A 17,585-nucleotide genomic window follows, 5' to 3' on the forward strand; every position below is an offset into this window, starting at 1 on the left:
AAACTGTCGCCGTTTCTCCCCGTCTCAGGAGCCATCAGAACACAAGAGGAGCCCCAGACATCTGAGCCCGTTGTCCCTGCCCCTTATGTGCTAAGAAGGACCCTCAGTCACACTCTAACTGTACGTCTTTCTCAGGACCCTTTTGACAAGAACCTCCCCTCATGTGCATTTCTTCCTGTGTTTTCTCCTCACCTTCTTCTACCCCCCAGAGACCTTTTTAGACCCCTCAGTTCTCTTGTATATAAAAGACATTCTAATTCCCCTAAACAGCATCCCCTTGGGAGCTGAGAAGTCCTCCCCTGGCCCCTGGCTCCCTGCCTGTAGACCCTAAATTGGGTGTGGGCCCAGGGCTGGCCCCAGGGCGTTTGCATCCCTAGTGTCCAAGCCTGAGGTGCACTGCAGGTCCTTCCTATGGTATGTCCCCAAATGACCAGAAAAACTGGGAGCTGGGCTCGGGCATCCCCAGATGTAGGTAGACCCCAAGAGGGCGTGGAGTCTTTTCCACACAGAACCTTAACAGGGACAGAACTGACCCTCCGCAGAGAGCCCTGGGCTCCTCCCCAGGCAGAACTGCCACTGACACGTGTGTTTCTACGGTTTCACGCTGCAGTTGCATTCGGGAGGCCGCAAGCCTGGCTATCATGGGCGTCTGCAAGACCTCCCAGCAGGGCTGCGGAGGGCGAGCGGCCCAGGAAGGCTCCTTCCAGCACCTGAAGGGGGAACGGCACAGCATGCAGGTGCTCTGCCCACAACAAGCCAGACCCCTTCCCGTCTCAGCCCTGGCCTTGCCCACCCCGTTAGACAAGTTGGTGGGTATCCTCCTGGGGATAGCAGCACCAGCCGCTTGTGTGCGGATCACAGGAACCCACGGCTTACGGAGGCGAGTGGGCTGATCGGACTTGCCCTAAGCTTACCCCCAGGGCTAGCATTGCCATTCCATAGTCACCTTGTGAGGCCTTGGGATGCAGAACTGCTCAGTCAAGATGCTCAGGGCCATGGTGGGACCCTGCTCCGCGTGGCCTGTGGCAGGCGGCCTCTGCCTCTGCAGGAGAGGGTCTGTGCAGCTGGGATCCACATACAACTGCTGGGTCTGCTCTTTGAAGACTCCGCCCAAAGCTGAGGTGCTGCTGCCTGGTAACTTGCTGGTTGCTGGAGCCAATCCAAAGGGAATTAGGGAAGAAAACAAAGCCCCTATCCCTAGGGCGGAGGTCTCAGGGGCGGCAGTAGGGAAGGTTGCCAGTTGCTTGATGCTGGCTGTCCAGGGCCTGGGTTTCATGAAATGACACTGCTGAGGGCAGAGGTCAAAAGTCAAAGAGGCACCTGAGGGTGGGGGAAGGGGCCATAGATGACAGCAGGGTGGGGCTGGGGTGGAGCAGGACGAGGGTTGAGCCTCTCACTGGGTAGTGTCTGACAGCCAGATGGCCATGCAAGAAATGAAGAACACGCCACCTGCCAGGCTCAGTGACAGGTGTCAGTTGTCTGCCCCACTTCCCAGCAGGCTCTGCATTTTTCCAGAAAGCCCCATTTCCAGCCTCTTGCCTGGTTTTGGAGAGGCAGTGAGCCGAAGAGGTTGCCCCCAGCAAGAGGTAGGTCCGAATCCTGCTGCTGCCAGAAAGAAGCTCTGTCACCAGGCAGTGGCTTGTTCCTCCTGGGACCCCGCTTCCTCTCCTGTCAGATGGACACAGCATCTGTGCCTGGTGGCCAACGCAGGAAATGAAGGCGTCAGAGGTCTCAGAGATGGGCAGAGCCAGGTGCCAATGGCACCAGCTTTAGGGGGGCACGCCCAGTAGGCCCCACCATCCAGGAGCCCTTGAGCAGGTTTGTGCAACTGGCCGTGCCTCAGTTTCCTCATCTATAAATGGCGATGACCAGAGCAGTTTCCGCTGCATGAGCTGCCATAAGTCCCCAGTGGGCCAACAGACTTTGCAAGCGCTGGCTGTTGGTGGGCACTGGGGACCATGAGTGGACTATGGGAAGGAACGGCTTGCAGCGCCCAGCTGGTTAGTTTGGAATTTATGGTAATTCAGAAAAATATGTCTGTGATAAGTAAGAACTTAAAAAATGCTTTGCAAGGACAGTGCAATTTAAAATCAGGGCAGTTCCAATCCAAGTCTCCAGAATGGCAGTTCTCTGCTAGGGGCGGTTTTGCCTCCAGTTTCCAGGTGGCATTTGCCACTGCCTGGAGATAGTTCTGGCCGTCGTCATTGGAGGTTGCTACTGGTGTCTAGTGGGTAGAGGCCGAGGATGTTGCTAAACACGTTGTCATGCACGGGACAGCCTCCACCACAAAGGGTGACCCGGCCCCAAATGCTGGTCATGCTGAGGTCAAGAATCCCTGCCCCAGAAGTGAATACATGTCCACCTGCTGGCATCACTCCTTGGTTTCGGGTGGTTGGTCTAAGCCCCCAAGGCCTCCTGCTGATGGAGCCCCTACCCTGTCCCAGGTTCTTTGCATCTCATCTACTTCTCCTGACCCCGACTGAGGGGTGAATAAGATGGCTGTGGGCACCTTTCTCGTGTCAGACCCTTTTCTGAGGGCTTTAGACACTTGGTGCATTTAATCTGCCTCACAACTTTATGAGCTGGTTCTGTCGTGATTGGCTCCATTTCACAGATGGGGAAGCTGAGGCACAGCAGGCGAGGCAGTCACCAACCTCTCTGGCTCCAGAACTGTGCTCTGATCTGCCGTGCTCTGCCACCTGGTTCATAATGAAGACCCACCGGCTCAGAGGAAACCCCCCCGCAAAAGCCCCTGCCCCTTCTGCTACATCTGGCTGCCTCCCTGGGAAGGGCTGGGGTGGCCAGGACATGTGGGAACAGCGCTGGGCCCAATCCAGAGAAGGTGCCACCAACCGGGGAAGCCTTGCTCAGGGCTTCAGCCACTACAGGAGCCAGTGGGGCTGGGTGTGGCCCCCTAGGGAGAGACCTTAAGCAGGTCAGGGCCGGCAAACTGTCATCGGTTATCTCCTTTGGTCCTTTACAGCCTTTTTTTTTTTTTTTTTTTTTTTTTTTTTGAGACGGAGTCTCACTCTGTCGCTCAGGATGGAGTGCAGTGGCACAACCTCGGCTCACTGCAACCTCCGCTCTCCAAGTTCAAGCGATTCTCCTGCCTCAGGCTCCTGAGTAGCTGAGATTACAGGTGCCCGCCACCACACCCGGCTACTTTTTGTATTTTTTGTAGAGATGGGGTTTCACCATCTTGGCCAGGCTGGTCTTGAACTCCTGACCTTGTGATCGACCCTCCTCGGACTCCCAAAGTGCTGGGATTACGGGCATGAGCCACCGCGCCCGGCCCTTTTCAGTCTTCTGAGGTAGCAATAACCACTTCTCTCCATTAGACAGATGAGGAAACCGAGGCCCCAGTAGTAAGGGGTGCACCTGGACTTTGGTGGGTCTCCGACTCCTAGTGGGACACCTGCCCGGTTTCCCTGGGCTGCAGTGGGGAGACCCAGGGGTGAGCCTGGGCTCTGCTGCCCTCCCTGCTGCCCTGAAGGCACATCCACCGCCAGGTGTGGTCTCTGGTGGGAGCCCATTCTGTTTCCTTTCCGGGCAGGGGGAGGAGATTCCATCTCCCGTAGGCGGTGGGGCGTCAGTGAAACTCAAAGCGTCCAGATAGTCTCCACAGCACAAAGCTAATCATGAAAACATCGCAGCATGTATGGACCGTTTGCCATGCGCCTGGCACTACGTCCTCAACTTCACGTGACCGGATTGCATCCCCCGCACTGCCGGCAAGCCTGTGGTTATCAGTATCCCCAGCTTACAGACGCCGAAGTGGAAAGTCAAGGAGGTGAAGCCACCAGCTCCAGGCTGGCCACTGGGGAGCGTCCCAGGCAGGACTGGAAGCCAAGCTAGCGTTCCGGTTACAGGAGGCAGGCTCTCCCCGCTGTTCCCTCCTTCGGGGCTGGACACGGCTGCCACTTTGGGCCACCAGCCATGGGAGGGAGCCAAGTCTTTTCCGCTCCTGGATCCCACAGGGGTGCAGGGGCTGGGGGCCTGAGGAGGAGCAGGGACGTACTGGGTCCCCACATGCGTTCCTCCTCCTCTTCCTAGGGAGACTGTGGTCGCATCTCCCGGGCTGAGTCACAAAGCCAGCTGTGGGGAGCGGGGCGGAGCAGTGGCTGTTTTCTGTTCTTTTGGTTTCTTCCTGGGGCAGCCTGCAGGACTCCCTTCCCAGCTCTGGGCCCGCACTGCCCACAGTGTGTCCTGAGCAGGCCTGCTGCCTGAAGGCTCGCTCCGGCTCTCTGGCTCTGTCTGCCTGTCTCTCTCTGACTCTCTTACTCTGTGTCTCTGTCTGTCTCTCTCTCTGATGCACACGTGTGCATGCACACGTGTGCATGCACACACACACACACATGCACACCCACACACACCCCTGTCTTCCAGAAAGCCACATCTAAACTCGTGATTCAGGCATTGTAATATGATCGTAATAAAAATGGAGTTTCCCACCTCTCTTGGTGACAGTGTTTGGACTCCTGCCTGAAAGGACAAGAAGGTGCTATTTATAGGGTCAAAACCTCCGCAGGACTCGGCGGGAGGCTGAGGTGGCTCCAGGGGGCTGTGGGTGCTGCTGAACGGCATTGGATATATGGGATAAGCCCGTGCTCAGACGTCCCCACGAGTGTGGAGCCAGTCCTCAGAGGTGACTCCCAGGGTGGCGGGCTCTGCCTGCGGCCCTGCTATGTGCAGCCAGCCCTATGTCATCCTTCACCACACCTGGCCAAGAGGAGGAGCAGGGCCTCATGGGCACTGCAGTGAGGTTGGTGATACACCCCAGAAATCTCACGGGGTAAAGAAAGAAATGCCCAGAGGTCCCCAAAGCTGGCCGGTGCCCAGGCTGAGTGGAGGCAGCTGCTCCGGAGAAGCTGCTGGCTGGGGGCGCTGCCTTGGGCTCCAGCTGGGCCTCTTCTCAGGGGTCAGGGGCACGCCCAGCTCAGAACCTGGGTTTAAGAGCTCCTTACCTGTCACCCTTGGCCATGGGCTGCATCTGCCACAGTCTTGGGCGTCTGCCTGCCCCATGGTGGTGCTGGAGGCAAGGAGGGAGGTTGGGAGGAGGCAGTTCACAAGCGGCCCAGGCTCCTGCTTGGGGCTCGGGGGGAAGCTCCTGTCCCCGCTCTGAGGAGGGAGGCAGTGATCCTCCCCGCCCAGGGAGGAGCCACAGCATGTTGGGCAGCTGTGGGTATGGAGAGAACCCTGGGCAAGGCCGCAGGGACCTGGGGGTGGGGTCTCCTCGGTGCTGGTACCTGAAGGAGCAGATCAAGGGGCACCCGGAACAGACACATCTCAAAGGGAGGCACATCGTGTCCGAGTTCTCACCCAGGAAGCCCGGTGTGTCCACTTGGGAGGCTGCAGACCCCGCAGGTGGAGGGGCAGCCTCCCGGAGCCTGCTCACTCAGACGATGCTCCCTGGCAGTGACTCCTGAGATCAGAGCTGGGTCCTGAACCTCCACGTTGGCTTGGGGCTGAGGACTTGCTGCAGGAAAGCAGGGCCCTCCTGGGGCACAGACGAGGTGGAGAGGGCTGAAGCAAAGCTGAGACCTGCCCTCTGCATCCTGGGTGCGTGTGCCCCTCAGGAAGAACTAACAGCACCTGCTGTAAGCCAGAAGTACACAGGGTCACCTCATCCAGATCTGGCTCTAAGTTAATGAGACCTTGAGCCTTCCTAGTAAGTCGCTGACAGCCCATGAGGAAGACCCCATCCCTGACTTCAGAATGCTGGTGCTCGAAGACACGCAGTGGCCCTGGAGGATGTGATGACCACATGAAACCCCGCTGTTTCTCCTCAACCAACAGACCAACTGTAAACAGGTGTGCTCGTTTCCCGGAACCGCCAGAACAAAAAGCTACCACACGCCGGAGGGCTTGAAACAACAGGAATTGGTTCCCCCACAGTTCTGGGGGCTGGAAGCCTGAAATCAAGGTCTCAGCAGCTGGGTTCCTTCTGGAGGCTCTGGGGGAGGGTCCTTCCCTGCTTCTCCCCAGTTTCTGGTGGCCAGCAATCCTTGGCACTCCTTGGCTTGGAGATGAGTCCCTCCAATCTCTGCCTCCATCCTCAGCCACGGCGTTCTTCCCTTTCTGTGTCTGTGTCTCAAATCTCCATCTCCTTTATTTTATAAGGGCACCAGTCATAGGATTTAGGGCCCACTAGGGTAATCCAGGATAATTTCATCTGAAAATCTTGCATTTGATTACATCTGCAAAGACCCTATTTCCAATAGTGTACATTCACAGGTACTGGGGGTTTGACCTCCCACAAGGAACCCTTGGCAGTGTTGTACTGATTTTCCCGTTGAATGCCATTGGTTTTGGTGAGCCGGTGGAACTTCTTAACTGTCCTAAATACTTGTGTTCTGGGTCTCTGTTGAGTGCACAGCCTCAGGGCCTGGAAGCCTTGATGGAGCAGATCCTGGCTCTGTGCGTCAAGCTGGAGGCGGTTCCTGGCCCCTACTAATGGAGAGGGTTGAATGGGGCGGTCAGCACCTCCCGGGAGCAGTGGAGGGTCTACGCTTTTGCTAGAAGCTGCCCTTTTGGCTTGGGATTTCCAGCCAGGAACAACTGGATTCACCGAGGGGCAGGATTTTGGCAAATGCACATTGGGGTGGAAGGCTGGCTTCCCTCCAGGGATCTTCAAACTGCCCTTGGGAGGATCATGGGGAATCTGGCACGTCTGTCTTCCACCTGTTGGGGAGGGCCTGGGGCTGCTTCCTGGTAACACACAGTGAGTGGGTGCGGAAAGGAAACGACTGTCCCAAGGCAGGATCTGACTGAGGGAATCTGCAGGCTTAGTGGCCAGCCTGTGATGCCCAGGAGACATGCCACCTTTTCCTCTCAGGATACAGAAACCCAAGACTGCAGAATCGCATGGCCAGGTCTGTGGGGTGGGAGGGGAGTCCCAGATGCTGCAGACGCTGCTTCTACTTACAGGGCCACCACTGAGAAGTCACTTTCTTATGGAACTGGGGTTGATTGGCAGGTGTAACTTGCATACTGAGAGGCAGATGGAAAGGCCCTAAAGATGACCAAGACGCAGAGGCAGAGTCACCCAGGACTCAGGACAAGCCAGTATTGGGGCATGCATAACCTGGGGCTCTCCTGTCACCCCTGCAGGAACAACGAAACAGCCCACAGCTGGAGATGGCTACTTATTTTATTTTATTTTTTTTGAGACAGAGTCTCTCTCTGTCGCCCAGGCTGGAGTGCAGTGGTGTGATCTCGGCTCACTGCAACCTCCGCCTCCCGGGTTCAAGCGATTCTCCTGCCTCAGCCTCCCGAGTACCTGGGACTACAGGCGCCCACCACCACACCCGGCTAATTTTTGTATTTTTAGTAGAGACAGGGTTTCACCATGTTGGCCAGGCTGGTCTCAAACTCCTGACCTCAGGTGATCTGCCCACCTCGGCCTCCCAAAGTGCTGGGATTAGAGACGTGAGCCACCGCGCCCGGCTAATGACTACTCATTTAAGAGGAGCAGTGATTCTGAGTGCGTGCCTGGAGTCTCCCACGTGGACAGACAGCTTCTGGGGGTCCTTGAGACCCTTTCAGGAGTCCAAGAGGTCAACGTTATTTACATTGTAATACTAGGATGCTATTTGCCCTTTCCACCCTTATTCTCTTACAACTTACAGTGGCGTTTTCTGGAGGCTGCCTATGTGTGATATTGCAATGGAGAGAATACAGAAGCAGATGCAAAGACTCAGCTAGCATCTGTTAAGCCAGGCATTAAGGAGACTCACAAAAATGTACAACAATGCCACTCTTTTCACAAAATATTTTTGTTTTGTAGAATATGGTTGGTTCTCATAAATAATGTGTTATTTACATTAACAATGCAATGGGTTTATAATAGTTACTTTTTAAATGAATAATTAAATGCAGATTTTAAAACATTTGGTGAATACTTATAGACATAACCTATAGAAACAAATGTTCTTTGTGGTTCTCAGTAATTTTTCAAGACTACAAAGGACCCTAAGACCAAAAGGCTTGCAAACCATGGATGCAGAGGATGCTGGAAGGCAGACTAGGGATTCCAGTATGGTGTGCTGAAGAGGTGTTGGGCTTTGGGGTCAGAGCTGGGTGTGAATCTAGTCTTTGCCATCCTCACCTATTCCTCTACTGCCATTGTCACCTCAACCACCACCATCATTATCACCACCACCACCATCATTACCATCATCAACCATCATAGCTTTCATCATCATAATCACTGTCACCACCACCACCATCATCATCATCATCGTCACAATCTGCACCATCACCATCATCACCACCATCATCAACCATCATTGCTTTCATCACCATCACCATCATGATCACCATCACCACTTTCATCATCATCACCATCACCACCTTCATCATCATCACCATCATCACCATCACCATCATAATCACCATCACCATCATCATCGTCATCAACCATCATTGCTTTCATCATCATCATAATCACCATCACCACCACCATCATCATCATCATCACTGTCTCCACCATCACCATCACCATTGTTATCACCACCACCACCATCATCACCATGAACGACCATTGCTTTATCATCATCATAATCACCATCACCACCACCATCATCATCATCATCACTATCCTCACCATCACCATCATCATCACCACCACATCATCATCACCATCATCAACCATCATTGCTTTCATCACCATCACCATCATGATCACCATCACCACCTTCATCATCGTCACCATCATCACTATCACCATCATAATCACCATCACCATCATCGCCAGCCATCATTGCTTTCATCATCATCATAATCACCATCACCACCACCACCATCATCATCACCATCCTCACCATCACTATCATCATCACCATCATCAACCATCATTGCTTTCATCACCATCATAAGCACCATCACCACCTTCATCATCATCATTATCATCATCACCATCATCATCACATCACCATCATCACTGTCATCACCACCACCATCATCATCAACCATCATTGTTTTTATCACCATCACCATCATAATCGCCATCACCATCATCATCACTATCATCACCATCATCATCATAATCATCTCTGTCATCATCATCATCACGTCCTTCATCAGCATTACCATCACCATCACCAGCATTACCACAATGCCACCACCATTTCCATCATTGCCACCACCATTATCATGACTATTCTCACCATTACTGCCTCCCTTTGGCTGAGCTTGGGCTGTGTGCCAGACACTGTGTCAGGTCTTTATAAGTCATTTTCTCTAATCACCATAGAACTCTACCAGGCAGGTAGTATTGTCCATTTTTACAGGTGAGGAGACTGAAGCTTATAAAAGTTAAATTGCTTGGTGGAGCAGTCTCTGAATACCAATCTGTTTGTCTCTGTTCTCTCTAATCCTGGGATGTAACTCAAGCTTGGTTTGCTTCTATTTGTTACTTGCTAGTTGGGAATATTGCTAATGCTAATAGTTTGCTATTACTGAATATCTGCTAAGGACCAGGCACTGGCTATGTGCATGTCAACATTATCCTAATCCTCTTGATCATGTAAAACAGGCATTAAAATTAAACCCATCTTGGGGTGGGAGAGTCCCATGTGAAAAGCATCATCCCCCAGGCCTGGCACACTGTGGCACTGGGTGAATGCTCACCCCTGTTGTCACAGTGGCCCCAGCTGTAAGACTTGCATGGGGGAGGTGGCCAGGCCTGTGGAAGACAGCAGAGGGGGGTGTGGCAGGGTGGAGTGCAGGCTAGTGACAGTGAGGCCTCCTCCCACCTCTCAGCTCTGCTCTGTTCCTTGGGCTGGGGATGCTTGCAGCAGGCCCATGATGCTCACTCTCCCTAATCACATATTTTTGGAGTACCTATTGGGTGCTAGATAGTGTCTAGGCATGGGAACATGGCTGTGAAGGGGACAAACAGGAGTCCTGCCTGCATGTTGCTCACAAACTTTTATGAGAAAGACAGAAAATGAGTGCATGAACACAGCCCCAGCGATGTTATGAAGGAAAGCCAATCCAGGGCAGGAGGTAGGAGGAGGCATGGAGTGTTGAGTGGGCTTGGAGAGGGGGCCAGGGAGGACTTTTTCTCGGGAAAGGACATTTGGGCAGAAACCCTCATGAAGCAAGGGAGTGGGTGAGCCACAGCACCTCGGGGTTCAGTGTGTCCCAGGCAGAGGAAATAGCAGGCACCCAGGCACCAGGAAGCCAGGAGTTTGGTATGTTCACATAGTGGCCAGAGGCCAGTGTGGCCAGGGGGAGGGAGAAGGGCAGGAAGTAGGTCAGGGAGGCTGCAGGGGTCATCACACCTGGCTTCCTGTGCCCCATGTGGAGTTTGATTTTATTTTGATTGTGATGGAAGCCATTTAGGGGGTTCTGAGGAGGGAATGTGATGGTCTTTATTGTTGCTATACAGACAGAATGGAGACAGGAAGTCTTGTAAACAGAGTCAGTGTTGTTCAGGGTTGTTTTGGGGTGCTTGAATGGGAGGTCAGGAGAAGTGGACATATTCAGGTACGTCTTGAAGTAACCAAAGCTGACCCAAGCATGTGACCTTAGGGATGGAGAGAGAAGGTTTCCAGTCAAAGGCAGTGAAGGCAGCAGGGCCTGGGAGAGCAGTTAGGGTTCTGGCTGGCTCTGCCACTAGCTAGATGGTTTTAATCTCTTGATGCCTCAGTTTCCCCCTTATGCCTAGATGGTAATATGCCTCCCAGCTCTAAAGGGAGTATTGAGACTCCAGTGAGGTAACAGATGGGAATCACACTTTCTATTTTGAAAAACATCTTCTTTTGCAATGTGGTCAGATACAAGCTCCTTGAGGTCAGAATGTATATTCTTCTCCCCAGTGGGTCTCCCTTGTGCCTTGTTCAGGGTAGGTGCTGCAAAAGCAAATGTGGAACTATAGACCATGAACCCTCATGAACACAGATGCAAAAATCTTCAATGAACTATTTGCAAATCAAATCCAGCAATATATTAAAAGGATAATATATCATGAACAAGTGGGATTTATCACAGGAATGCAAGGCTGGTTCAACATTTGGAAATCAAGCAATGTATTTACCATAGCAACAGACCAAAAAAGAAAAAACATATAACCATCTTGATAGTTGCAGGAAAAACATCTGACAAAATTTAATCCATCCAAAATTTATCCATCCATGATAACAGCTATTGGAAAATTAGTATTAGACAATAACTTCCTCTTCATAATAAAAGGCATCTATGAAAAACCTATGGCTAACATCGTACTTAGTTGTGAAACATGAAATACTTTCCCCCTTAAACTGGAAACAAAGCAAGATGTCCACTCTCACCATTTCTATTCAACAGAATACTGGAACTCCTAGATAGTTCAATAGGGCAAGAAATGGACATAAAAGATATACAGATTGGGAAGGTAGACATAAAATGGTCTTTGTTTGCAAACAACATAATTATCTATGTAAAACATCCTAAAGAACAAATGAAAAAGCTACTAGAACTAGTAAGTGAGTTGAAAAAGGTCTTAGGATACAAGGTCAATGTACAAAGATCAATTGGAGGCCAATTTCTATGGACTAGCTTGGAGCTATAGAGCTATATAACATGCATGAGTTGGCATGCTCAATATTTTTAAGATGTTCATTTGCCCCTTGCACTGCTTAAAAGGTTCAATGCAATCCCAATCAAAATTCCAGCAGGAATTTTTGGGTAGAAACTGACAAGTTTATTCTAAAATGTATATGGAAAGACAAGTAGCTAGAATAGACAGAATAATTTTGAAAAAAAAGTTAGAAGACTTATATACTAATTGATTTCAATAGTTACCATAGAATGGCAGTAATCAAGACAGTGCAGTGTTGGTATCGGCAAAAGAACCCACACATAGATTGATGGATCAGAGCAGAGAGTCCAAAAATATATGGTCCGTGGAATTTTTACAAAGATACAAAAGGCAATGGAGAAAGGATAGTCTTTTGAACAAATGTTAACAATTGGTGACCTTATGCAAACAAACAAACAAATAAACAAATAAACCTTGACCTATACCTTGTGCCCTAAAAATTATCTCAAAATGGATTATAGACCTAAATGTAAAACCTAAAACTAAAACTTCTAGAAAAATACATAGGAGAAAATCTTTGTGACCTTGGATTAGGGAATGGACTCTTAGAACACCAAAAGTCATATAACACCATAATCCATACCAGAATAAAATGATAAATTAGACTTCATGAAAATTAAAAACTTCTCTTCTTTGAAAGACACTGTTAGGAGAATGAAAAGACAAGGCACACACTGGGAGAAAAATCTTTGCAAAATGTATATCTGATATCCAGGATATAGGAAGGACTCTCAAAACTCAATAAGAAATTTAAAAATGGGCCAGAGATTTGGACAATCACTTCTCCAAAGAAGATATTCATGTGGCAAATAAGCACACAAAATGACACTTGACACCATTAGTCATTGGAAAATTGCAGCTGAAACCACAATGAGAGAGCACTATGCACCCACTAGAATGGCTGGAGTATAATAAGTGCCACGTATTGGTGAGGATGTGGAGCCTCAAAGACTGCTGGTGAGAATTCAAGATGGTACGGCCACTGTGGGAGACAGTTCAGCAGTTTTTGGTAAAGGAGAGCACACACTGATCATGGACCTAGCCATTCTGCTCCTGGGCATTTTAAGTTAAATGAAAATATATATCCATAAAAAATGCATGTAAATGTTCATGGTGGCTTAATTCATAAGTGCCCAAGAATGAAACAAGCCAAACACCTTTCAACGTGAGTGGATAAACAAAATGTGGTTCAATGAAAAACTATTTCGCAATCAGAGGAACCAACTACCCATAATAGCATGGATGAATCTCAAACACATCCTGCTAAATGAAAGAAGCCAGACAAATGTCTGCATACCATAGGTCTCATAAGACATTCCAGAAGAGGCAAAAATGTAGGAATAGAAAACAGATAGGTTGTTTGACCAGGAGCTGGAGGTGGTAGGGGGAGGTGGGTTGACCACAAAGAAACACCCAGACAGTCTTTGGAGTGTTGGAAATGTTCTGCCTCTTGATTGTGGTGGCAGTTACACAACTGGATGCATTTGTTGAAACTGACACAGCTATACATGAAGGAGAGTGAATTTTACAGAATATAATTGGGTTTGGGCCACTACCCCTAAAGGCACAATCCCAAACACTGTAACTCCAAGTGTTGGAATCCTGAAAGATCAAAATTCCCAAAATATAATTCAGGAAAAAATAATTAAAAAATATATTTTAAATACATATGTTTACATTTGTTTGGTTGGTGTTTGTTTTTTGAGACAGTCCCACGCTGTCGCCCAGGCTGGAGTGCGGTGGCACGATCTCGGCTCGCCACAACCTCTGCCTCCTGGGTTCAAGTGATTCTCGTGCCTCAGCCTCCTGAATAGCTGAGATTACAGCTGTGAACAACCACACCTGGATAATTTTTGTATTTTTAGTAGTGACAGGGTTTCATCATGTTGGCCAGGCTGGGCTCGAGCTCCTGACCTCAAGTGATCCACCCTCCCAAAGTGCTGGGATTACAGGTGTGAGCCACCACTTCTGGCCTATATTTACATTTTTAAAGGGAATTTATTTGAGAAACATAAAAACACATCAGAACTTTCATAGGCCACTTTGCACAATAAAATAGGGAATAGTAACATGCATATTTTTGCAAATATAAACCCTCAGATGTACTAATAACAACAGTTTAAGCAGACAAACCATATTCATAAAGAAATATGTCAAAGGCTGGGATTGGTGACTCACGCCTGTAATTCCAGCACTTTGAGCGGCCAAGGTGGGCAGATCACCCAAGGTCAGGAGTTCGAGACCAGACTGGCCACCATGGTGAAACCCCGTCTCTACTAAAAATACAAAAAAAATTAGCCAGGTATGTTGGCATGCACCAGTAGTCCCAGTTACTTGGGAGGCTGAGGTGGGAGAATCACTTGAGCCAGGAAGGCAGAGGTTGCAGTGAGCTGAGATTGTGCCACTGCACTCCAGCCTGGGTGACAGAGTGAGACCCTGTTTCTTAAAAAGAAAGGTATGTCAAAAAGGGAAACGTATAATTGCATAGAACTATGGTTGGTAATTATGTACAGCTTCACACCTGCAGCCATCTGAAGTACCATGAGAGACACCCTAAGTCTTTTGAAGGGATCAGTTGGAAGCTGAGAAAGGTCAACACTGTATAGGCAGTTGCCCAAAATGTTGAGATCTTTGGAAATTTTATCTTTCACAAGTGCAGATATTTAAAAAATGACATCTCTTCATTCAGTGAGGAAGTCTGAATGTTTTTACGCATACACACAATGCTTACACACAAAGTCAACAGTGCGATAATGCACTTTCATGGAGCCAAATTTACAAAAAAATGCATAAAATAAATTAGAAGGTTCTAACAGTCTGTATTAGTTCTTTTTCACTGCTGATAAAAACATACCTGAGACTGGGAAGAAAAAGAGGTTTAATTGGACTTACAGTTCCACATGGCTGGGGAGGCCACAGAGTCATGGTGGGAGGCAAAAGGCACTTCTTACATGGCAGCGGCAAGAGAAAAAATGAGGAGGAAGCAAAAGTGGAAACCCCTGATAAACCCATCAGATCTTGTGAGACTTATTCACTATCATGAGAATAGCACCGGAAAGACCGGTCCTCATGATTCAGTTACCTCCCCCTGAGTCCCGCCCACAACACGAGGGAATTCTGGGAGATACAATTCAAGGTGAGATTTGGGTGGGGACACAGCCAAACCATATCACACCTTAACATAATTTATGCCTCCAGTGTTGGAAATGATATGAAGATGAAATACAGCATAACAAATTGGCACTACGTGTGAAGGGGCGGAAATTGTACATGATTGAATACTTTGGTGGAAGAGACTTCCTAAATTTTTCACCTGCATTTTCACTTCTTCTGTGATCTTTGAAACACTTGTTGCACTTGGAGAGTGGTTGTGGTCTACAAACTGTGTCTTTGCTGTCCATTTGCAAGTCTGGTTATTGATCAGCAGCTGCACTTAAGCGATTTCTGCTTTCACAGCCTTAATAATAATTAGCTTTAAATCGTATATCTTCCACCATTAAGTAGCCTTGTACACTTAACTTATCACAGCCTTTTTGCAAGGGATCACTTTCACAGCCCTGTTCCATTATGTTGTGAGAAACACAGTAAGAAGGAGTATTTGACTTCCCCAATACCAGATCTATATTAGGCTTCTCCGGCGAGACAGAACTGATAAGATGTGTATACAGATATAAGAGCAGGGATTTCCCTGGAGAATGGGCTCACGTGATTATGGTGGTTGGGAAGTCCCATGACAGGCAAGCTGGAGATCCCACAATGCCAGGGGCAAGGCTCAGTCCAAGTCCAAAGGCCTCAGAACCAGAGACGCCGGTGGTCCAGTGGTCTCTAACTCTGAGTCCACAAAAGCCTCAGGACCCAAGGGGGCTGCTGATGTATGTCCTGGGGTCCAAAGGCTGGCAACCCTGGATTTCTCATGTCCAAGGCAGCAGAAGAAGAGTCTGTCCCAGCTCTCAGAGAAAGACTGGTTTGCTTTCTGCCTCTGTATTTATTCTTTCTAGGCCCTGGTTGATTGGATGGTGCTTGCCAACACCGAGGGCTGATCTTCCCCCGAGTCCACTCAGGCTCACACATGAGTGAGTGAAGTATTATCAACTCTAAAATAAGGATGATATCTAATAACAGGATGGAAACACGCTTGTATGATGCCAGCACAAAAGATTTGTCAGGGCAGACGTTCATTCCTGCTATTCTCAAGTTTTGTGATTAAGCAAGTGCATTTAGATGCTGCTTAGCTGAGAATGTTTCCGTCTCCTCTGGAAACACCCTCACAGATACAACTAAACTACTGTTTTACCAGGTTTCTGGGTACCTCTCAGCCCAGTCAAGTTGATACCTGAAATTAGGTCCACACAGGTCTACCTCTTGCCACTTGGCACCCACACTCATCTCTTTAGATCATACTTAACTTCCAAATAAAGACTTAACAAGGTCGTAGTTCCGCCCAACACGGTGCAACTGTCACAGACAGGCACCACAGACAGACAGACAGGCACCAATCCTTTCCCCAGGACTCAGCTTTCAGGATTTTGGCATTCAGATTTTAATCTGACGTGAGGGATTTTAGGTTTAGGGATTTCAGTATTGTGGATTATGCAGTTCAGGATTGTGTCTTTGAGGATTATGATTGACACCAAATACAACTATACCTCAAAAAAGGCATATGAATGGAATGCTGAAAAAAGGATCCAGGCCCCCTCAAAAAAGGCATATGAATGGAATGGCGAAAAAAGGATCCAGGCCCGAGCGCGGCTCATGCTCAAATCCTGTCTAATGCACAAACCACATTTGCTTGCTTTCGAATCGTTGCTTATTACTTATATGTGGGGGGGGAAAAGAAAGCAGCAGGCATTGAAAACACTCCAGAGGTTCCAGAGGTGGCTGTTTCCAGAGACACTTCTGGTCCTGACATGCTGGGGTCTCGTCACCAGGGCTGTGCTGGGGGCCCCAAGCTCTCTGAAGGTGTGCTTTCTGGGTCATGAGGTGGGGGCCCCACAGATATTGGTCATCTGTGGAGGGTAGCAGAGCAGCCCCAGGGCGCCATCGATGCTGGCAGGGGAGGACTGCCCGAGGGCCTCTACAGGCCAGGCCAGGGTGCAGCCACTTCAAAATCCCTGAAAGCAAATGTGGAACCTTGAGTGAGTGTCCGGTTGGAAAATGACCACAGCCTTGTCCTGAGCTGGGTGAGGGTGGGTCTGTCACCGCAGGGCTGAGAGGCACCTCTGTGTGCTCCTTGCCAGAGGAGCTTGGCAGCAAGTGTGGGGTGGCCCTCCTAGACAGCAGCAGCTCTGCCTTGGGGTCTGGCCCATTCCCAGACACAAGTGCATGCAGACAAAGGCCAGGGGTCAGGTCCTGCCCAGTCATTGGTCTCCTGAGCTGTTGGGTGCCGGGTGTGTCCTGTGATAGGACAGCAGCAGAGCCCAGCTGCTCCACCTCGTACTCTGGCCAAAGATGAAGGGGCACACAGTGGCTCTGCAGGGCTGTGGAGCAGTGCTACAAGCCTTGGCTATGGCGGGGCAGGGGACAGTCACCCTCTGTCATAGTCCTTTCTGTGTTGCTATTACAGAATACCTTAGGCTGGGTAATTTATAGAGAAAAGAGGTTGGCTCATGGTTCTGGTGGCTGGGATGATCAAGATTGGGCAACTGTGTCTGGTGAGGGCCTCAGCAGCTTCCACTCATGGTGCAAAATGGAAAGGGGCAGGCATGGGCAAGGAGGCCACGTGGTGAGAGAAAGCAAGAGTGCCAGACTCCCTCTTTTTTTTTTTTTACTTTTAAATTATTATTTTTAGAAATAGGGTCTCACTCTGTTGCCCAGGCGGGAGTACAGTGGCACTGTCATAGCTCACTGCAGCTTTGACTTCCTGGGCTCAAGTGGTCCTCCTGCCTCAACCTCCTCAGTCACTGGGACCACAGGTGTGGCCACCACACCTGGCTAATTTAAAAAAAGTGTTTTTTTTTTTGAGATGGAGTCTTGCTGTGTTGCTTACACTGGTCTGGTCTGG

At 49.5% G+C, this 17,585-nt stretch overlaps 4 annotated features.

Annotated features, from left to right (window-relative positions):
• Positions 114-826: an enhancer, noted in NCBI's record as "H3K4me1 hESC enhancer chr11:3187022-3187734 (GRCh37/hg19 assembly coordinates)". NCBI's record gives its function as "activates a minimal SCP1, AML or CMV promoter by ChIP-STARR-seq in naive H9 embryonic stem cells {active_cell/tissue: H9 hESC(naive)}" and the evidence as "EXISTENCE:reporter gene assay evidence [ECO:0000049][PMID:30033119]".
• Positions 6,102-6,602: an enhancer, noted in NCBI's record as "H3K4me1 hESC enhancer chr11:3193010-3193510 (GRCh37/hg19 assembly coordinates)". NCBI's record gives its function as "activates a minimal SCP1, AML or CMV promoter by ChIP-STARR-seq in naive H9 embryonic stem cells {active_cell/tissue: H9 hESC(naive)}" and the evidence as "EXISTENCE:reporter gene assay evidence [ECO:0000049][PMID:30033119]".
• Positions 6,603-7,103: an enhancer, noted in NCBI's record as "H3K4me1 hESC enhancer chr11:3193511-3194011 (GRCh37/hg19 assembly coordinates)". NCBI's record gives its function as "activates a minimal SCP1, AML or CMV promoter by ChIP-STARR-seq in naive H9 embryonic stem cells {active_cell/tissue: H9 hESC(naive)}" and the evidence as "EXISTENCE:reporter gene assay evidence [ECO:0000049][PMID:30033119]".
• Positions 16,795-17,295: an enhancer, noted in NCBI's record as "H3K4me1 hESC enhancer chr11:3203703-3204203 (GRCh37/hg19 assembly coordinates)". NCBI's record gives its function as "activates a minimal SCP1, AML or CMV promoter by ChIP-STARR-seq in naive H9 embryonic stem cells {active_cell/tissue: H9 hESC(naive)}" and the evidence as "EXISTENCE:reporter gene assay evidence [ECO:0000049][PMID:30033119]".

The sequence above is a fragment of the Homo sapiens genome, chromosome 11 (assembly GCF_000001405.40).
Source record: "Homo sapiens chromosome 11, GRCh38.p14 Primary Assembly".
Taxonomy (NCBI): domain Eukaryota; kingdom Metazoa; phylum Chordata; class Mammalia; order Primates; family Hominidae; genus Homo; species Homo sapiens.